The sequence below is a fragment of the Homo sapiens genome, chromosome 14 (genome assembly GCF_000001405.40).
Source record: "Homo sapiens chromosome 14, GRCh38.p14 Primary Assembly".
Lineage (NCBI taxonomy): Eukaryota > Metazoa > Chordata > Mammalia > Primates > Hominidae > Homo > Homo sapiens.
Window position 1 is genome coordinate 46,882,038 of NC_000014.9, and position 23,726 is coordinate 46,905,763.

At 32.6% G+C, this 23,726-nt stretch overlaps 1 protein-coding gene across 8 annotated transcripts in view, besides 1 other annotated feature; it reads right to left on the reverse strand.

Moving 5' to 3' along the window:
• The window catches only part of MDGA2 (MAM domain containing glycosylphosphatidylinositol anchor 2), an 835,983-nt gene that overhangs the window by 42,415 nt on the left and 769,842 nt on the right, over positions 1-23,726 (reverse strand). For all 8 annotated transcript variants that reach the window (XM_011536519.3, NM_182830.4, XM_047431048.1 and 5 more), the window contains one exon: positions 7-184. In XM_011536519.3, coding sequence (XP_011534821.1) covers positions 7-184 — 178 coding nt within the window. The remainder of the gene's footprint in view (positions 1-6; positions 185-23,726) is intronic.
• Positions 3,406-4,605: an enhancer, noted in NCBI's record as "MED14-independent group 3 enhancer chr14:47354646-47355845 (GRCh37/hg19 assembly coordinates)". NCBI's record gives its function as "activates an origin of replication core promoter dependent on BRD2, BRD4, P300/CBP and CDK7 cofactors, and independent of MED14, by STARR-seq in HCT116 cells {active_cell/tissue: HCT116}" and the evidence as "EXISTENCE:reporter gene assay evidence [ECO:0000049][PMID:35650434]".

The window sequence follows — 23,726 nt, forward strand, 5'->3', positions numbered from 1 at the left end:
ACTTACCACTATATTTGATCACACGAATTGTTGAATCTCCTTCACCAAATTTGGTGAGAGGAGTCAGTCGGACTTCATAAGCTTCTGGTTTAATTAGCTCTGTCAAGTTATATGTAATTAATTCTCCCTTTTGAATATTCCCATTTATTTTAATCTCCTGCTCCCACCAGCGCTGCTGTCCAGCCTGAAATCAAAACAATAATAGAATAATGTTCCCAGTATGTTCTTCAGAGGTACTAAGAAAATTGAAAACAAATTTTGAAATTTTATTAAATCAAAAAGTACGTATATTAATGAATACGTATTATTAAAGTTCAAGTTTCTATAATGATAAACAAATTTTGAGATGTTTGCATGCATATGTTTGCAGGTAATTGCCAAATGATCAGAGGTATTTAATAGATTTAATATATCATCTAATGTTTAGTAAGAGTCAGAAAATTCCAAAGTGTCTCTGATCTTGAAGTCGGGAGAGATCAAAGTTTAGCTACTTCTTGCTTAACATATTAATGGCATACGAGATTCTTGAATACTTACAACTCTATCACATTAGCAAACATATGCATTGCATATATAACTGTTCCCATATATTATGGGCATTAAAAGTATAAAACAAAGACAAATCCTTAACTTTTCAAGTTTATTAAAAAGAGAGGCACAATAAACAAATGTATAATATAAAATTTCAGTTAGTCATATGTACAATAGAGAAAAATAAAAAATCACAAGGAGATTGAAAGTCATAGTGGGAAGGCTGGAAAGGGGCACTCTTTAGTTAAATCAGAGGACATCTCCATAAGAAGAATGTTAGGAAGTTAAGATGAAGGGTAGGAATTTACCATGGGATTTGGCAAGATGGAAGCGATGGTCTCCTTGAAATAAATGGTGTCAGAGTAATGAAGATGAAAGTGTGATTGTAATATGTTAAAAGAAGAATGAGTTTCACAATGCTTCCCTCACTAAAAAATCACAATGCTCAGATAATTTCACAGCACAGTTATCAAAATGTTCAGGAAAGAATTCTAATCTTTTACAAAATCTTGCAGATATTTTTAAAAAGAAAAACAATAACTCTCCAGCTATGTTATTTAATTTAAACCAAAAAGGATGGTACAAGAAAGAAAAACTTATGTATACAAACCGAATTCATAAAGTTTTAACATACAATATTGTTTCCAAATTCATCATACAGTACTGTTATCAAATTCATCAAGTTTTACATCCAGTATTGTTTCTCTTGCAAGGATGCAAGAATTGCTTAACATTAGAAAATGTGTTAACATAGTTAACTGGCAAAAGAAGAAAAAACATATTTCTACTAGATGGAGAAAAATTTGGGAAACATCAACTCCTATTTATAATAAAACTATGAACATGCTAGGAATGAAAGGGAACTTGATTAATCTGATAAAGAAGATCCAACAAAAAGGTAGAGGATGCTTTATTTTTAATGCTTATATATTAGAAATTTTTTTAGAATTACAAGTGAGAATGCTCAACATTATTTAAAATTGTACTTTAGTAACAATAAAGTGTATAATAATTGGAAAAACAAAACCAAAATAGATCTATAGAGTTGTCTACGTAGGAATCTCTCTCTTTCCTTTTCTCTCACTCTATCCTTCCATATGCATATACACTTGAATGTCTTTTACAAGCACTTTGAAGCTTTCTTTATTAAATGTATGCATATAATTTATTAGATGAGATAACAGGTAATCCACAGCTTTGTTTGCTATTGTAAATTGTAACTTTTAAGCTATTAATATTTTGCTGGCTTATACAATTGTGACAGATTTTTTTATTCTCCTTAATTCAGATATATATATATGACAAATACAGTCCTCTTTCTATATGTATCTAAACATATAGTATGCATCATTGCCTTGTAATATGTGTCTGATATTTTTCTTAGCTGAAATCTATGGTATCCTTTTTCATGGGGCTTTTCTCCTTTTATTTGCTTGGTTATTTTTCACTGGTGCTGATAATATGGCTTAAAATTCTATTATTGGGGGTTATCTGTGGCCTATGACAAAGACATATTCTGTATAGATGTACCATTGTTTCTGACATGCTCCTAAGGTCATCAACAACATGGCCTACTTTTACTTTGATTGTGAAACTCTTTGGTGTCACAAATTAGAGTGGAGAAGATCCCTTGCTTTGAGAAGGCCTTGAGTTTTCATTGCTGTCTGCCTCAATGGTGCCAAACTATTAAGAATCAAAGTTCAAGTTTGTCTGGGTTGGCAAACAGCTGAGGGCAAAAGTAGTTTGGGCAGAAATTCTGTTACTTTTGAATGCCATTTTCCCTTGGATTTTTACGTAGTACTTTCTCTATGTACACACACATACACATGTACACATTATATGCACAGGTACACACACATACACATATCACATAATATGCACATATGTTCACATATATGCACATACTATATGTTCATAAGTATTTGTTTTCTGAAGGTTAAGTTAGTCCTAATTATACAGTCTTGACTGCTACATTTCTGGAAATAAAAACTACAATATGTGTGCTACAGCACAGTCCTACACAAATGACAAATTAAATAATGGCATGGGAAGAAAGCCCAAATATAAAATATATAGAGTGTCTGCACAGAAGAGAGAAAAATATATACCATTCAATTGGTTATGCATATGGAAAAAAACCACTTGAATTGGAACCTTATATCTTATACATAAAATTCAGTCTCAGGAGTATTAAACAATTAAATTTAAAACATACAATTTAAATCAGTTAGGAAAAATACAGAAAAAATGTTATTATGATCTCAGGTAATACATTACTTTCTTTTTTGTTTTTTTTCTGAGACAGTCTCGCTCTGTCACCTAGGCTGGAGTACAATGATGCTATCTCGGCTCACTGCAACCTCCGCCTCCAGGATTCAAGCAATTCTCCTGCCTCGGCCCCCTGAGTAAATGGAATTACAGGCATCCACAACCACGCCTGGCTAATTTTTTGTATTTTTAGTAGAGACAGGGTTACACCATGTTGGCCAGGCTGGTCTCAAACTCTTGACCTCAAGTGATCACCCAACTCAGCCTCCTGAAGTGCTGGGATTACAGGCGTAAGTCACCGTGCCTGGCCAATATATTGCTTTCTTAAACAGAATAGGGAAGGATGAATCATGAAGAAAAAGATTGAGAAATTTGTCTACCAAATTTAAAATTAATTAAATATAAACTTTCAAGTTAAAAAATTTGTTCTCATCAGTATTCACCATTAAACAGGAAAAATACAAGCCAGAGGTTTGAAGAAGATATTATACACATGTTAATATACACAATTAACTAGACTTTATTAAAAACTCATTTTGATAACAAGGAAAAGAATTCAGTAGCAAATTGAGCCAAATAACAACAAGTAATTCATAGATGAGGAAATCCAAATAAGTAAGTAACTAAAGAAGAGGCTTAGCCTCACAATGAATCAAGGAAATGGAAATTAAAACCACAACTTTATTTTCCACCATCAAGTAGGCAGAAACTTTTTAAAGATTAACTATTAGGGCTTTGTATAGATGTAAAACAATGAGAATCTTTGTGCATGTCAGAACCAGAGGATTGGGGTGGGAAACAAATGAGATTTTTATCCTACGTATAAGCTAACAAGTTAGCCTGCCACAATATCATGAATATTAGCAGAAGACTGGAGACTACTTGGTCAGAGAAAATGACTCATGACTCAGCATAAATCCCAAGCTTTATTTTAGCATTGATCCTCCTTACCTCTGAAGTTCCACAGAAGTACTGCAGATGTGCCAAGGAGGACGCTGCACATGCCTTGATTGTGCGTCACATCTGAAGGACTCTGAGTTTAAGAAACCTTAGTCTTTATAACTGATAGTAACCAAATGTGTCCAACCATTGCCCAGAAAGGAGACATCACAGGACATCAAACAAACCTCCCCTCTGTTCCAGAAGAAGACACTACATTCAAAAGACGTTTGCTATGCTAATGACTCGAAAAGACAGGTTGTAATAAAAGGGCAACTGGTGCCTCTGGGCACAAGACACAAAGAAATATAAGCAATCCATGAAAAATTGTCTTTCAAACATGTGTCCTTGATGAAAATGCAAATTGGTATAAGTTTGGAGAGTAATTTGCATTAAAAGCCATGTTACAATGAGAACAGATAAATTCTTATACTTGGAAACAAGTATATTCATCGCATAGAAAATGGAAAATGATCTATACCTCAATCGTTTAAGAGGTGATAATGAAATTGTAGACTCTTCATAAACTGGAATATAAAATATAGCATGAAAAAGGAACCTATGCAACATACATCAACATGGAAAATTTTCACAAAATATTGAACTAAAATTAATTTTGAAGTAGATATGTTATAAAATTTAGTTTTAAACTATGCATTTTAAAGAGGATGTATAGCTATGTACATATTAAAGAATAAAGAAATGAAGAGAAATAATAAACACTGAGTTGAAGATACTGTTTAAATAGGTTAGGAGAGTGCAAGAGATGATGATGCAGTTGTGAGGGGTAAAGAAAGGACTTCAACTCTACCAGGTGATTTTTGTTTTGTTTTGTTTTGTTTTAGATTAATGGTAGATGTAAAAATTATGATTATGTTATTTTGTGTAGGCCTGAAATGTTTCTCTGTTTTTAATAAAGAGAATTAGAGAATAAGAGAGAGAAGGAATTCTGAATTTTCTTAAAACTCTTTCCCCCTTGAATTCTATGACAGTGCTCTCTCTCATATTGCTTCCCACATCAGCATCTTTGGCTACTCCTTATTTTCTTTTCCTGTGTTCTAAATGTTGATGTTCTCCAGAATTTTGTATATGGCGTTTGTGGTACTCTGTATTAGTGGTTCTCATATTTCTGCATGCATGAGAATCACTAGATGACACTGTTAACCAAAATTCTAAGTCTCAACCATCAGCAATTATGGTTCAATGAGATCTAAAAATACGATCTTTAAAAAGCATCTCCTCTCCCACATAGTAATTTGGACACAAATAATCCAGAGGCTACATTTAGTGAGGCACAGATTAGTCCTGCTAAACCACCTCATTACTATTAGTAGCTTCTTCTAATATCTCTACATTGATAACTTCCTAACTTGTATTTTCAGCTCAGAAAATTAAGAAAAAAAATACATCTATTAGTCTTTACCATGTGCCACTATTTTAACTGTCTTATACCTATCATTATATGTAATATCCCACAAACCCTAGCAGGTAGTAACTATATTTAGCCCTATTTCATGAATGAAAAAACTGAGGCAGAGACAGGTTAAGGTAACTCTTTTAAGTGGCAGCTTCAGAATGTGGTTAGACCCAAAATGACTCTTTTTGGTATCACTTCCTCCTTTGTTTTCCCTGAATATACTGCTCCCTTAATTGTTTTTACCAGAGCCCTTATATATTTAGTTATAATACACTATGTCTGGTCATTAACTTGATAAAAATATGATGAAATTAAACGCCAGCATACAATGTATTTTTAACTGGCCTCCAAGGAGTACGGCAGAAAATCAAAGTTATTTCAGTGAAAACTGCATACAGTCACTGAATTTACATACAGTGGTGAAGGATAAAAATCCTAATTCCACAGAAAGCACTTATCTTTCAGATAAGCATGCATAGTTAATACTAGGTATTATGAAGCTTCTATTAGTTTGGTAGGTTAAAATACTATAACATAATATAAATGATGACACTTTTACTGTCTCTTAATTTTAGATTTATATATATATGAACAATAGGCAAAGTGCTATGATTTTAAAAGATAGATAAAATCAATTTAAACACACAAAAATATATACAGAATAATTTATTTGATATTTTACTTTTACCTAAAGACACAAGTTTAATCAAGGTGTACTTTCCTTGATGTTAACATAAGTTTAAATAAGAGTTTAATACCACTGAAAATTTGTAGTACATTACAAAGGGACACTGCAGGTATCCTCTTGTTATAATGAGTGTTCTACTCAAGTAATTTTAGTCAGGAGATACGTTGATGTTGTTACTTATTACAAACTCCAGTGTCCATAACTTCATATGTGTATTAAAAAAGCAATAACTTTGATTCCAAGTCTTTAATTTAAGCTGTAATGAAAGTGTATACTTCAGCAGTTGGCAGAATAAGCAATTAAATACTTCATATTGTATCTCAGTGAGCTGTGCAAAATGTAAAAATGGAAAACTAAATGCAATGTTTGCACATACATAAAAGGAGATGCAATATTATTCCACTGATTGAACGTAATACCAGAAAACCCTCAGAGAAGATGGGTTCTAAACAATACAGCAGATGACAATCCCAGATCATACTTATAAGCATGATGATATGTAAGTAAGTGTTAAACCATTTTCTTCATGTCAATTTTAAAAATCCATTTAATTTTTTCTTTTATCCCCAGGAGGTATATTCCATTCAGATGATTTAGAGGTTAGCCTAAAACCTCCCAAGTACCCTAAAGTGAGACTTTTTATTAAAAACTATAATTTGTTATTTTTACCACAGAAGATAATTAAAAAGCTATTGCTGAAAAGGTCTCAGGAGGAAAAAACATGTTAATTTTTTCTCTTAATTTTATAAGAAACAAAATTGACTAACTTAAAAGCAGAAGGCTGCAACAGATTCTGAAATGTGAAGGGAATAAAAGTGGTAATGTTTTCCTCTTTTTTTTTTTTCTTGGACTATAAATCTTTTTAACCACTATAATGAGCTCCATTGAAAAGTACCAGGTAAGTAAAAACTAAAATAGAAGAGGAAATGCAACAACTGAATACAAGGCATATATGTGTGTTTATTTCATTTATTTTTATGTAACTCTATAAAAGATTGATATATCCATTTTATAGGAAACTCCTATTCATGTTTAGCAACCATACTGATAGTAAAAATAATAGCTGACATTAAAAATCCAGGTATTACAGACCCTAAATCACTCACACTAATGATTATCCAACAGAATAAGAAATCAGGAAGATGACATTTTCATGGATTAAAATCAAATTGTCTTATAATCCCAAATAAAATGTAACACTGATTTTTAAGATGCACTATTGTTTTAATAACCCCTTTTAGGGAAAGGAGATAATAACTAACATGGCGTTAAATGAGTCTTATTTTTATTTTCTACTAGTAATAGCAAACATTTATTCAACTAATTATATAACTTTTCTTCTTTCATTACCACAAATTTGAGTATCATCTTCTTTACATTCAGCAAGAATTCTTCTGAGTAGGCACTTTTCACATCATAGAAATATTTTGCTTATCATACTTTGCTCGTGCTATTAACACCTTTAGAAGTGACTGTGTATTTTTTAGATATCCAGAAATTTATAAGTTTTTATCTGCCTTTGGTCTTTGGAATCTTGTATTATTTTTCTTAATTGAATTATGTCTAAATTAAAGAGTTTTCCTTGAAAGCATCCTGGTGTGGTATAGGAGAGAATACTTCTTGTTTGAACTCAACTTCAACAGTTTTTTCTAGTTGTGTTCTAGCGTCTAGCATGCATAGCATTTATTTTTTATGTCCTTGGAACTGTCTTGGCTTTTAGTCACTAGTTCTATTCAGTCTGCATTTTTCTTAAGCAAATCACAAGTTCCTTGAGCCTAACATCATTATCTTTCCCTTTTCTTTTGAAGCGGTGTGGGATTGGTGAATCCTGACAGCTTCCCCAGAACTACAGTAAGGCAAAGAAATACCAGGCCCCATTCCTTGAAAATTTGACTCAGTCTACCCTACTATGCTACTTGAGGGCTCCCCCAAGTGGGACCCAGATCTCAGAACTTCTAGGCAAGTCTTGCAATCTTCCTCAACTACATGTTGGGAAGTGAGCATGCATCCTTCTTTCCTACTCTGGTGGGTTGTAGATGCCTTTTATCAGGGAATATAGGCACCCACTCTATTGCCTTTCTTTATCAGGGAATATAGGACCCACTCTATTGTTCTTCTCTCACTTATGCTAAAATAATCCTCTTTACCATGCCTGGAACTCTGTATTTGCTTTGGGAATTGCTCCTGATATTTTTTATTCCTGACATAAAGCATTTCAGAACTCAACGCTTTTTCTCCCCCAGCCACCTCCTGCTCACTTCCACCACCATGACCTCTATTTGATTTAAATACTAGGTTTTCAAGGCTACTGTTTTTGCTTGGACTTTATACAATCTATTAAAAGTTCATTTGTCACCTTTCTTGTTTTGTGCAGGTGTAGGTTGGTCTTCCCATTCTTGTGCCATAAGCCTTAGCCTTCTCTGTTGTAATTTTAAGTAATGAGAGAGCAGTTAATAAAGAAAATTACAAGAATAGAAAAATGCATTTGTTAATTTGCCAAATTCTCAACTGACCTTTTCAAAAAGTTTTTAACTTATATAGCAAACTACTTTCAACTTGCATTTAGCTTTGAGTATCTTGAAAATAATTCCCTATAGTATTTCTTATTTATATTTCTTTTAGCATCAGTTACTGATTATAAAACAAAACGAACACAGCAGCCCTCAGGTAAAGACAGCATTGAATGTGTCCACAGCATCAGTGGGTCTCTCAGTCTTTCATGCAGTTTAGCAAGTTTTCTTCCCTCACCTATCTTAGTGAGCCACTGCTGTCTGAAGAGATGTGAACTGGCTATGCAAGCAGAGTCTCTGGTAAAGCTCACCAGTAAATAAATGAAAGGCCTTGCAAGTATACTTCAAGGATCTTTTTAAAGAAAACTAAGCATTAAGCACAGAGAACAAGGTCTTTAGTGACAACCAAGGGAAATATTCTTGCCCTGCGATCACAGAAATAGAAGTAATAGAAAAAGTAGAAATTGAAGTTGAAAAAACATTGAATCTAAAACTTCCTACATAAATTAAGGGTGTTATGATAAAGTTAAATATGTAGTTCCAAAACAACTATGACACATACAATAAAACAGAACTTTGGAAAAAAGTAAGTTCTTTAGTAACTTGAAAAAAATTATTCCTTTCACAGTAGCTAAAGCTGAAGTGAAGATGAAAACAAAGACTGTCATTTTACGTAGTCTTTAATATTCAGTACATATTTTATGTGACTTTACATTCCTAATGTGTCAGTTTAAAGTATATTAAAGGGATATGTGAGAATATTTAAAATATAGCCAATATTTATTGAGTGATTGCTATGTTCTTTTAATCCCAAGCAAATCAATGAAATAGCTCATTAACTTTAAATTGTTTCTATATTTTTATATTTTAACTCTTTCTATTAAAATGTGTAGAATTACTGTTTCTAAATATAATAATTCTAGAAAAAATAAAATGATAAAAATGAAGAGAAAAGAGTAAATATGGTATCTCAGAAAACATACAGAATAAATAATGTTCAAATGAATCTTGTTAGCCTTTCTTATTCCTGCCCCTTTGTAATATTTGAAAGGTAATTGCTAACACTTACCTTAGGGAATGATTAATGTTTTTAACTTTCAGAGCACATTTATCTTATTATATTAATATAATTTATTTCCTGTTTTATATAGTTAGCAATACGTTTAATAAGGAATTATAATCGTGATTAAGTAAATTATATTGAATAATACTGTTCATATTCATGATTTGGTAGAGTTTAAAACATTTGACATTTAATGAATAGGACTTAAGAAGGTGAAATTTCGATACATTAAATAATTTTTTGTTTTAGTTTCTAAAAGAATAGGTTATTATTATTTAAAATCCAGCACATATATAAAATTCTAGTAACTACAATTTTATCACCAAAGCATTTCCTTATTATTGGATTTTTTTAATGACAAGGCTTTTTTATAATACTTATAATAAATATCATAATAAATATTTTAAGACTTAAAAATGAAATGATATTTGAACTTTTGCAAGTTTCCTATCTAAACTTACAAAAGTAAATGTGTTATGTAGTAGAAGTTAATATGAGACATTCTGGCTCATAATAGTCACTTTGGTCACAGTCAGGTTAACATACCCTCATCTGTGGGGAAATGAGCCTCTAATGGAAAACATCAATCCTTAACATACAAGTGACAACTTTATTAAAAATGTTTTTTAAATAAGCTTATTTAAAGAAAATAATATAAAAATGTGTTCACAAAGCAATAGTAATCAAAACAATATTGGACTAGCATAAAAACAGACATATAGACAAATGGAACAGAGAGCCTAGAAATAAACTTAAGCATATGCAGTCAACAAATTTTTGATAAGTCCACCAAGAAGACCCAATGAAGCAAGAATAGCCTCTTCAGTAAATAGTGTGGGAAAATGAATATCCACATGCAAAAGAATGAAACTGGCTCGTATCTTACACCATACACAGATTAACTCAAAATGGATTAAAGATCTATGCATAAGACCTGAAGCTATACAATCCTAGAAGAAAAAGGGATGGAAGCCCCTTGGTATTGGCTCTGACAAGAAATTGTTGGATATTTAACCAAAAGCATAAGCAGCAAAATAAAAAATAAACAATTGGGACTACATCAAACTAAAAAGCTTCAGTACAACAAAGGGAGCAATTAACAAAATGCAAAGATAGCAATGAACTGTAAAAATCATGTGTGAACCACATTATCAGATAAAGGGGTAATGTCCAAACTATATAATGAACTCATGCAACTCGACAGCAAAAAAACAAATAATCTGACCCTGCAAAAATAAGCAAAAGACAATAGATATTTCTTTAAAGAAGAAGTAAAACTGGTCAACAGGTAGATGAAAAGGTGTTCAATATCACTAACCATCATGAAAATGAAAATCAAAACCAAAATTAAATATCATCTTACATCTGTTGGCATGACTATTATAAAAAAAAGATGAGATAACAAGTGTTGGCAAGGGTTTAGAGATAAACGAAACCTCTACACTATTAGTGGGTATGTAGATTGGTTCAGCCATTGTGAAAAACAGTATGAAGCTTCCTTAAAAAGTTAAACATCGAACTACCATATGACCCAGAAATCTCTTTTCTAGATACCTACCCAGAAGAAATCACCAACTTATAAAGACAACTGCACACCCATGTTTATTGCATCATTATTCCTAACAGCCAAGATATGGAAACAACCTAAATGTCCATGAATGAATGAATGGATAAAGAAACTGCAAATTACACAATTGAATATTACCCAGCTTTAAAAAAACAAGGTACTGCTATTTGCAACAGCAGGGCGGACCTAGAAGAATTAAGCTAAGTAAAATAAAGCAGACCCAGAAATAAATAAGAGTGCATGATATCACTTATATGTGGAATCTAAAACAAAACAAAACAAAAACTCAAATACACAGAAATAGAACATGGAAAAATGGCTACCAGGGGTGTAAGTGTGAGGAAAATGGAGAGATGGAGGCCAAAGGGTACAACGTTCAGTTATGTAGGATAAATAAGGATAGAGATTAATCACAGAACAGAAGGACCACAGTTAATAGTATTACATAATATAAATTTGCTAAGAGAGTCAATTTTAGGTACTTGTACCACATATACCCACATATTGACAAACATAAGAGAACTATATAAGAGAATGAATACGTTAATTTGCGAGACTGTAGTAATCATTGTATTATGTATATTTATATCAAAACATCATGTTGTATACCTTAAAAATGTACAATTAAAAAAGACAAATTTAAAAATTATTAATAGTGTATTCACATTTTAATACTACAAATTTCTAGGAACAATTTTGACGACTACATTATTCTTTACATAGGAATTAAAAATGTAATCATAGAGATTGAGCTATTTTAAAAGTTATCTTCTGTGTTTTTAGTACAAATTGTACTGTCAGTCTCCCTTAAATTCACTGTGATTTCAGCCAGTAGGGTGCCTAAATATGAAATTTATAATGTCACCATGGATATTTTATAAATTTTTTTAGACTTCTATGTATATGTCCCTTAATTCCACCACCAGACATCAGAAAGGCTGAGCCTTTAATGGCACATTTGATTCATTTTCCACAATTTTTAGAATTGCAGTTTGGGGTGACAGTTGAGAATACTCAACTAAAGTATTTTTGTTTACTAAGAAAAACGAAAAGTAGTAACTCTAATATTTTTGAGGACTCACTATTGCCAGATATTTTGCTAAATATTTTACACATTATTTTAATTTAAATCTTATAAAAAATCTATCGAGGTTAGTATTATTATCTTCATTTCCTCAGTTGAAGAAGTAGATTAAACCAATAAACTTTCCCAGGTCATACAGTTGGTAAGAAGCAGAAGATAATATAAATATTATTACCCAATATTGTCCAATTTCCAGGCTACTCTTGTAATCTTAATCACTATTCTCCATTTCTTCTTCTTATATCAAATGTGTTGCTTTCAGTTTTTCCTGACAAATGTGTGCTTTATTTACATTCCTTTAGAAATTTATAAATTTTTTTTTCACCATTGGGAAGGCCTAATTATGTTGAACTCAATTACATAGCAAGGGGCAACAGAGGAAGATAACAAATCTAGCTTTTATCTTTAGGACAAGGGTTAGTCATACAAAAAGCTTTTGATTTTGTGAGACCTGACAGTTAAAGTGAATTCTGATTCTGCTTTCCATTTTATTTAGAGACTCCAGTGGATGTGTGCTTTGGTTGTGCTGAGTTTGTACTCATAACTGTTACATAAATCATTAAATGACAGGGTATTTCATACTGCCTCAGGAAAGAATTTGTATGTATTACTGACATATCCCCCTACCATGTATTTATTACTCCCATCTGTTAAAGCAAAACAACATTGAAAACCACCCAAGAGACCATGTGTAACAGTAAAAATAATCATTCTTTAGCAGCTTCTGATAAATTACTATGAAAGAAAAACTTGCTTCCTATCAAGTTTGGAAAAAACACATTCTAATTATTTTCTTGTCATGCTTGGATCAGCAGGTGAAAGGACACCTCAACCTAAAAATTAATTTTGTTATAGATTTCAATCCTGATAAATTGGAATTAAGCAGCTCAGTCAGCATCTTTCTTCATCAGGTAGGTTTTCTAAGGACTACTACAAAAATATCCAGGAGGTAGTAATAAATTAATAATTAGGGTTTGAGTTTTTAGTTTTTATTCATCTTGGTATCTGATATGGTTTGGCTGTGTCTCCACCCAAATCTCATCTTGAATTGTAGTTCTCATAATCTTCACGTGGTGTGGGAGGAACCCAGTGGGAGGTAATTGAATCAGGGGGGCAGTTACCCCCATACTGCTGTTCTCGTGATAGTGAGTGAGTTCTCACAAGATCTGATGGTTTTATAAAAGGCTTTTACCCCTTTGCTAGGCACTTTTCTCCTTTATAAATTACCCAGTCTCAGATATTTCTTCATAGAAGCATGAGAATGGACTAACACAGTATCTATTTTATATAAGGGGAATCATAATCACTTCCTTCAATTATTTTTAAGAATAACTAGGTTGGCCAGGCGCGGTGCCTCATGCCTGTAATCCCAGCACTTTGGGAGGCCGAGGCGGGTGGATCACCTGAGGTCAGGAGTTCAAGACCACCCTGGTCAATATGGTGAAACCCCATCTCTATTAAAAATACAAAAATTAGCTGGGCGTGGTGGCGGGCGCCTGTAGTTCCAGCTACTCAGGAGGCTGAGGCAGGAGAATTAGCTTGAACCTGGGAGGTGGAGGTTGCAGTGAGCCGAGATCGCGCCAGTGCACTCCAGCCTGGGCGACAGAGCAAGACCCTGTCTCAAAAAGAAAAAAAAAAAAGAATAACTAGGTATATTTCTATAAACCTACAGGATATTTTACTACTGCTATATGCTATATTCTGGATTTATTACTAATAGTCTTAATATTTTGATTCTGCAATGCCGCCTGTCCCTTCCATGTGTCATTGATAACTTCCTTTCACAGTCTTTCAACTGAAGTTCTTGCTTCTGGTGAGTACCGATTACTGTCCATAGTACGTATTGCTACTAAAGTTCAATCTTATTCTCCTGCTAAAATTATTTGAGTCATTGCTCTTTTGTAAAATTATTTATAATAATAGCTACTATACACTTTGATGGATTATTCAATTTAACTGGGTTAAAATGTATAATGTCACCATGGATATTTTCTAAGTTTTGTTAGGCTATTTTAGCTTGATGTCTCTTAAATATCCATTTGGGCAGTCATTTTGGTTAATATATTTTCATAGACTTTACACAGTAGAGAATGTTGATATATAAATTTAAACATACTGATGTACCATAGCTTTAATTCAATTATTGACAATGATAAAAAATTTAATTCTCAAAGTGTCCTAAAATTATAGACATAGAAGAACAAAAGTAAGAAAAACAGGCAATGCTTCTTGTTGTGAATACTTACACAAATGTATAAATAGAGATTAGCATCACTTACTACACTTTGGATTTAAAATGTCAGTAATATTTTCTTCTCATAGAAATTGTACAACATTAATTGATACATTTATTCATTCATTTAAAATCATCTAACTTATGTTGGCACGAAAAAAGTAATGGAGGATCAAGCAGAGTAAACTTTTTATATTACTGTTATATATTTGATATTTATAATCCCAATTTTAATATGAGCATTAAAATTGGAAGTGTAAGGGAGAACAGACATGAGCATGAGGATGTTATCTAAAACATATTCAAATATAATTTAACATAACTTCAAGCTCTCTATACGTTTTCTTTGAGTCTTAGAATATTCAAAATTTAAAATTACCTGAAATACAATATTGTATTTTAGTGATTTTATGGCCAATGAAACACAATAACTTTCTCTTAATGAATATATAGGACAATATGACAAGAAATGCTACTTGCTAATCTTTTCCCACTCCACTTACTCATTAACAATTTTTAGCAGTGCTGTATTTCTGAGCATCCCTCCAAATTAGGTGTGGTCATATGACCTAGTCCTGGCCAATGACATGTAAGTGTAGGTGCTGTGTGAGGCCTCTGGGAAGGCCTACATCTTTTCAGTAGTAACTATTGAAATAGTGATATATCCAGTAGGGTTCTTTGTTTAAAGAGATACCATAAACATGCCTCCCAAATGGCACAAAGTAAATCGATAATTGAACCAATCAATGACAATTTAGAATACATATTTTAAATGTTTTTCAGAAAGCCCTAATGTGATATCCGTATTTATTCCTATATGAAATCCATATTTAGATTATTGTTCTCTACTAACATACTTATATTTACTAAGCATCTAATCTAGTATCACTCTCCACTGAAGTGTGCCTATGTTTAAATATTATTTTAACTTATTATCAACCTCATATTTGTACTGCATATTCCTGTCAGTTTCTAGAAAAATGTTTTTTAATTATCAAAGATTTCTTAACGCATTGCTTTAGGAAATTAACAGTTGGAGAAACACGTGATGTCTTATACAAAGATGTACATTAAGGTCATTTGATATTTTGAATGGCAAATAACTACAACATTCTATTTTAATGGAAAATGTTGCACAATATCGTAGATTGATTCAGTCATTGAAAGCCATCTGTTGAGAGCCTATTACTTAAACAAATTAGACGGAGTCTTTGTTCTCCTTATATGTTAAAGTCTAACCTATACCTGCCTCATTGAGTTATTCTGAGGATTAAAAGAATTAATATATATAAAGCACTTAAAGATGTTTAACAGTAAGTAAGAATTATACAAGTGTTAGCTAATGCAATAATAACATCTTCTATTCCTACTACCATTATGACTAAAATTACTTGGTTGCAATTGGTACATGTGTAGAAAGAGTGCAGTGAGCAATTAATTTAATTATCACTCAAAATGTATAATAATAATCTGGGAACATATAATATGAAAAACATGGAGATATGACCTTGCTTAGAAATAGTGACAATCTTTATCTATTTTTGGAAATCGGAAAATTTACCAATATAAATGATAGATAGATCCTAATTTAAAAGTAAAAAATGAAATTATAAAGTGTTACAAGTAAATATTTGAGAATGTTTTTAGATTTTTGAGTGCATTATGTTTTCTAAGAGGATCTGAAATTCAGAGACCATACAATGGAAAAATTGCATAAAAATGTAAAAATATGAAAAATAAAAATAACAAATAAATGAAAAGATAAATGCATGGAGGACTATTTCCAAAACATATGACATAATCCTTCTTAATATATAAAGGGTCTGTATAATCAGTAAGAAAAATATTAGCAATTAAAAATATGAAATATAAATGGAAAATAATTTGGAGAACGAGAGTTTATTTTGGAAGAGACTCTGGTAATTTCTCTGGTAAGAAATTGAAGTTAGTGATGGTGGTAGATATGAATAAGGGTTGAATGATTTGAAGAATATTGAAAAATAAAATTGGTAGAAATTATTGATTAATTGGATATAGAGAATAAAACAGAGAAAGGCGTCAAGGTACATTTCTTGCTGGCTTGAGCAATGGGACAGATAATGGCCATTCAGTCTAATGGGGATCACAAGAGGAGGACAATGTTTGAGATAGAATAGGTTAGAATATAGAAGCATTAAGTTTGGGAGGCCACTGAGATATCCAAGTACAGGTTTTTCAAATAAATAGGTCTAGGGAGGTAACATTAAAACTCTGACAACTTCATTCATCAACATGTTCTTTGGTACTTGACAAATAATTTGAAGTATTATGGCAATCACATATTGTGTGTTGGCTCCTTTAAAGAACACAACCAAAGAAAGGGAGTTAGGAAAATAAGAGATTTATTTACTTCAGAACAAGACTACAAGACTGGATAGGACATGAGGTTTGGCAGGAAAATGAAATATTTCATTAAGGTCAGACAACTGACTAAGAACAAAGGGTGTCAATCTTTTTAATCATATAGATGGCATCAACAAAAATAATGAAACAGTATAAAAATATTAGCTTAGGATAAGCAAAGAAAGTATTTAATTGTCCACACTGCAGTTATTAATTAAAAAGAAAACACAAGAAAAACTAACAGAATCTCTGCCCCTCCCCAAACTCAACCTTGGAGACACTATAAAATTAGAGGGAGATTCCTGAACCTAAGGGGAAAATCGCAGCCGCTAATGGAAAGGGGATTATGTCACAAACAGGAAATAGGTTGGCATATGATATTTTACTTTTTCTCTCCCACACCACATCATTTTTATAAGTCAGTCATTACTGAAGATTTTTCCTCTGAGAAAACAAAAATTAATTATACCAGGTAATAGGTCAGGAGTAGATAAAATTTGTAGGCAAACTGGCAACCTGAGTGTTTTCTCTCCTCCCCACCCTTTTTTTCCCAAAATGATTACATGTGAAGGAGTCTTTTCAAAGCAGAATTACAATAAATTTCCCTGAGAGTTATGATAATACATGGAGAGGAGTCAAATCCAGTCTGCAATGCCAAAGGCTATACTCTGAGATGAATCATTTGTACCATTCACTTTCTATTTGATTCTTGAACTCAGGTGGTTAGAAAGAAGTTACGATTTGAGCTTTAGCTTATCTCACAGAAATATATTACTGCCCAAGACAATTAACATGGGCAAAAGAATATGTGCTCACCAAAAGAATATGCACTCACCAAGAATATGGGGCTCACAGAAAAGCTCAACCATGATAAATAATGATAGAAAAAAAAAACCTAGACCAGCTGAGGATGCAATTAATGTTAAATTTTTAACCGAAATGTAAGACAAAAATTTTAAATCAACAAAACTATCCTCAAGGAAACAGAAGTGATTTTGTAAGTTGCTAGTTGGCAAAATATAGCTTTAAAACCTTTGAGAAATACTGGATACTGCAATACTAATTGCAATAAAGAACCCAACAGATAGGCTGAATTGCAAAATAGATCTAACGTAAGAGGTTTTGAACCAGATTATGTCAAACAATGCTCTCAGAAGGCATCAGTAGAGTATCAGTATAGTTTAAAAATTACAAAAGAAGTAAAGAAATATGTAGGAAAGAAATGTGTCAATATCCATATATACTTAGAAAAGAAAAAAATAAACAAAGTAGTCACTACTTGAAAATACAATGGTACAATTTTCTAGGATATTACCTCATATTTTTTAAAAGTGGGCAAAAGACATGCACAGACATTTCTCTGAAGAAGATATACAGATGGAAAATAAACATCTGAAATATCATCGGGCATTAGAGAAATACAAATTAAAACTAAATAGATATGACTACACACCTATCAGGATGGCTGAGATGAAAATAGTGAAAACGACAAATCCTGATAAACATATACAGAAAGTGGCTCACTCATATATTTCTAGTGGGAATGAAAAGAATAAAACCACTTCATAAAATAGTTTGGCAGTTTCTTTTAAAACTAAAGATGGACTTACTACACCACTCAGCAACTGCACTGCTGGGCATTTATCCCAGAGAAACAAGTATTTATTTTCACACAGGAACTTGTACATGAATGCTTATAGTACCTTTACTGCTAATAGCTAAAAACTTGAACAACCCAAATGTATTTTAAAGAAAGAATTATTAAACAAACTGTAGGACACCCATACCATTAGAATACTACTCAACCATGAAAAGAATGAACTACTGATATATGCAACAAGTTGGATAAATCTCAAAGAAATTACACTAAATAGAAAAGTTAATTTCAAACAAATAGGTATTGCATAATTCCATTTCTGTAACAACTGTGAAATAATATAATTATAGGGATGAGGAGGAAATTAGTGGTTTCCAGGGATAAGGGATATAAAAGAGTAACATCAGGGAGTCTACGGTGATGATACAGTTGAGTATCTTGTTTGCATTATGGTTACACAAAGCTACGCACATGCAAACACAGATACACAAACAAATGAGTGCATGCATGTACAATGGGTGAACTCTGATTAAACTTCATGGATTGTACCAATGTCAGTTTCTTGGTTTTCATAATGTACTTGTGTTTGTGTAGGATTCTGGCTTGAAGTGGGCATAATGGGAGAAGGTTTCATGGAACTTTCCTGTACATTTCTATGTAACTTCCTGTGAATCTGTAATTATTTCAGAATAAATGATTTTAAAAAGAAAAAAAACACTGCTTATTGAAAAGGCTTTTAAAGTACTGAAGGGGATATGTAAGGGTGAGAAAAAGATACACAAATGACACACATGAATACTTACACACAAACTTGTTATAGTAAATTTTAAGAATGGAAGGGGAACATCACACACCGGGGACTGTTGTGGGGTGGGGGGAGGGGGGAGGGATAGCTTTAGGAGATATACCTAATGCCAATTGACGAGTTAATGGGTGCAGCACACCAACACGGCACATGTATACATATGTAACAAACCTGCACGTTGTGCACATGTACCCTAAAACTTAAAGTATAATAATAATAAAATTAAAAAGAGTATCAAAGAAATATAAAATATTGGAAAATCTAATAAGCATGAGTATTCAAGCACAAAGGATGGAAAATCGGACTGGCATGCTTCTTGATAGCATCTGTGCATACAAAAGTCAGTGGAACAATATTTTCAAACTATTAAAGGAGAGGAAAATCAAACCTATTCAGCTAAAGTATCCCACATGCATTTTATTCATTTATTCAGCAAATATTTACTGTACAACCACTATGTGCCAAACAGTACCAGACATTGAGGATAATGCAGAAAATAAAATGAGAAAAATATCTTATTCCATGCTTTTATGCAATTGTAAAAGCAATTTAATTAACCTGTAATGCTCTCCACATTTCTCAACCACTCTGGAAAGCTTTGTTCAAACCTTTTCCTTTCCTTTAACAACTGAGGCTCCCTGCTAGGGTTTAAGGATGGTGAGCTGAGCCTGTGACCAAAACTGAGCATTCTCTGAACCACATTGGCATGGCAGTCTTAACTGAGAGCTATGTCCAAGTCTGAAAGTAAACTCAAAAAGGAAAACTGTGGCTTGTGTGGAGATCTTAATTATTCATCATCATGAGGAATATTGCTTGGGAATGAGGATGACTTTTAAGCAATTACTTCATAAGGTATATCCAGATGCCACTAGGTTTAAGTGCAGTTGTCACCGATGAACCCCTCTTTCTTGTTCCCTCCCTTTTAGGGATATAAAACCATGACTTATTATTTGCCCTCATTTTCCCCTTGTTTTACAAGAAGGAGTTTTATGCAAACCATATGCCACTGTAGAATAAGTGTAATGTCTTTATATAAATACATCTATTTTTAGTTTAGTTGATTTTTTTCAACAGTACCACCATGACCTCAATTTTGAAAGTGTTTGCATTTGAATTGTTATTACTATTTTTGTTTACTTCCCAATGTTAACGTAAGTGGTAATCAGTGGAACTGTATATTTGCTTCAGAACTCTTTTCAAAATAAATAAAACTTTGCAGATATATGGAACCCACATTCTATCTTTTCTCAAACCTGTTCCCTCCCTCCCTCACTACAGGGAAGAATTATATACAGTAGGTACTTTTTTTTCTTTTCCCAAATATGGTTTTATACATTTCCAGCATATATTTGAATACATAGAAATTACACTCTTTGAAGGAAAAAATCTTATTTCCTTCCAAAATATTTGCTTTCTTTTCTATGCTAAGAGAAATTTTCTACAACTAAGGTTTTGTTTTGTTTTTTAAGCAACTGAAATAAGGTAAGCATAGCATTGTATTGATGCAGAATGTATATAATACAAGGACTACAGTGAGTTCCTTCCCACGATTTGTCTACTTTTATTGCTTCATATATGGCCATGATATTTTCACACTCTCAAGTAATAATGTCTAAGAATCTGCTGTATGTTCAAGGTAATGCTATCTAGAATTTTATGGTAGAGAATATAAGCATTTTCTCAAGATTTACACTACTTAATGTGACAATGCTTCATTTGCTATAATTTCTAAGGCACTAGGAATACACAGACCTAGTTAAATATACAGATTAATCAGTGTTTCTTTTCTTTATTTCATAACCTAATGATAGATGCAGGAGGCAAAAAGGGGGAGGGCCCCAGAGAATCTCCCACCGGCCTACACACTGCAAGAATGGGTTGGAGCCACGGGAAGTTTGAGCCATTTGCAGCAGGGAGGAGCTGCGCCTCTTCAGTTCCTGTGCTGTGGCCTGTTATTCAATCTGTGAGGTGGGAGCGCTGGCAGGAATCCTTCTCATTTTGCTAAGAGTTTTTGTTGTTGTTGTTTTGTTTTTTTCTTTTCGTCCAATAAATTCCGTTCCTGTCACCTTTCAATGTGTCCACATGCCTAACTTTTCCTGGTTGTGACACAAGAACCCAGATTTAGCTGAACTAAGGAACAGAAATTCTGCAACACTAATCTCCCTTTTAGAATATATTTTAACAGAAAGGGGTATGGGGTTGTTTCATGTCAAGAAGCACATTCTTTTAATTTTATTGTTAGGGCAGAATTAGTCTAGTGTAACCTTTATAGGTCAGAATGTAAGAATGACAGTTACTTATATACCTTGACTTTTTATTACCTCAAAACAGTAAATTTTATTTGAATGATTTAGAAGACTTATGTTAGAATCTTAACCAAAATGTCTAATCCTATACTTGACTTCAGAGAATGTCATTCTATTTCCAATAGATGAAAGCATTTCCCCTCTTCATCTTTACTATAGAGCCATTGCTCTATAATTAATTATTATACCTCTATTTATTATAGATCATCAATATAATTTAATTTTTCTCCAAAAATTCCAGTTGAAGTTAATATTAGTCTAATATATGTGCTGGTTACATTATTTGTAATATGTGGAATACTGGAATGCCTGTTTTACTCTATGGCAAAAAGCCTACTTTATCTCGGTTTGTGCCTTTGCCCATTTACTAAAAATGACTGTGTGATTTATTATGATTGCCTGGTTTCCAAGCAACAGTTTTTTCAAGTTGAAATAAAATTGAATACCTTAATATATAACAATGTATTCATGCTTTCTGTATGTTCATCAAATTTGAATTGTCAAATCCAGTTCACATTATAAAATTGTCATTTATAAAGGAAGATGATTTTTAATTGTCAATGTTGAGTCAATTACAATTGCTTTATAAACAAGGGTGTTTTCAGTGTATCCATTTGTTACTGAAAGGAAGACATATAAAAATGGCCAATTTTGGGCCAGGCATGGTGGCTCATGCCTGTAATCCCAGCACTTTGGGAGGCCGAGGCTGGTGGATCACTTGAGGTCAGGAGTTCAAGACCAGCCTGGCCAACATGGTGAAAACCCATCTCTACTAAAAATATTAAAAATTAAAAATTAGCTGGGCCTGGTGGCATATGCCTGTAATCCCAGCTACTCCGGAGGCTGAGGCAAGAGAATTGCAGAAACCCGAAAGGCAGAGGTTGCAGTGAGCCGAGATCATACCTGTGAGAGAGAGGGAGACTCTGTCTCAAAAAAAAAAAAAAAAAGCCAATTTTATTTTAAATATTTGATTAAGAAATTATAATTCGTATGGCCATTATTATTGATACTGGCATTAATAGCAGAAGTGCTAATTAGGAAAATTCAGTCAAAATTGGGTCGAATCTACAAAAGAATATGTAGCTATCCAGAGCTTTGATAAGGCTAAGTACTTTTATGTGCCTAATACAATCCAGCCGTGAGCAACCTAAAAAGCGTTGCTTATTACTCATGATTGTTCAAATGTACTAAGAATATTTGAGAAAATTCATACCAAAGCCATTTATTTTTATCAAACATTTTTATGTCTGTACTACACAAGCTAATGTGTTCCCGTGTTCATAGCTACATGTTTACATTTAAAGAAGTAGAAGTCCATAAATAATGAAAACTTACATAGTTCTTAATCCTTAAACTCCTAAGATGAAACTCGACTAGAAACCCCAAACTCAGGTGATTTCTCTATTGATATATCCAACTTCAGGCTTTCAACATCCTTGTTTCTTAGAAAATTCACATTTGTACTATTAGAAGGCTACCTCCAGTTTCTGAAGTTGTATTATCAGGGTAGTCTATGTGGAACCAATGGAAATAAATGGGAATCTCTGTAACTATGAGAAAGGATATGGAAGTCACATTCTATTAAAACAGAAATAATGGAACATGCAGGGACAGCCCTATTCAAACCAGACAACCAGGCACATTTTTAATGTTGCACAAGACTCTGTACCTAGATGATTATCTTTTATTTCATATTTCATTCTCACAATATCATTATTAAGTTCCCATGAGATAAGTTAAGTCCTTAAAGTGAGTCCTGGAAAACTCATTTTATACAAGAAGAGGTGTGGACAGAAAGTATTTCAGATATTCAATGAAATTTGCAATGGTGAAATTTTAAGGTTAGAAAAGGCTATTTTTAAGCAGTTGGGACTTCTTGAAACCTGTGACAAAATAAGTACTAACCACTGCAGGAGCACAAATAAAACAATTTCTTTCTATTTTTTTTTCACTTGGCAAGTGTATTCATTATGCTTCCAAATTCCATTTTACAGTTTTATTTAAGTCGTTTTGAGATTGCGTGCAAACTATCTCATACATAATTGTTGATACCAATTTGTGGTATTATGCATATGCACAGTAAACAATGCACATATTGAAATGCATGCAAATGCAAACAGATTGAAAAAGACTATGTAATGTTTCTTAAATCTTAAAATTTATCAAGTTATTATCTGGGTATCCAATATGTTACAAAAATATTGTAAAAGAGTTACTATATTGCTAGATGCTTTGAGCATCAATATGACTGATGATCTACGTGACAGAAAAAAATGAAATATTCATAAGCATAAAGTTCAATTCATGATGACAAAAAGAAAAAAGCATGTTCATTG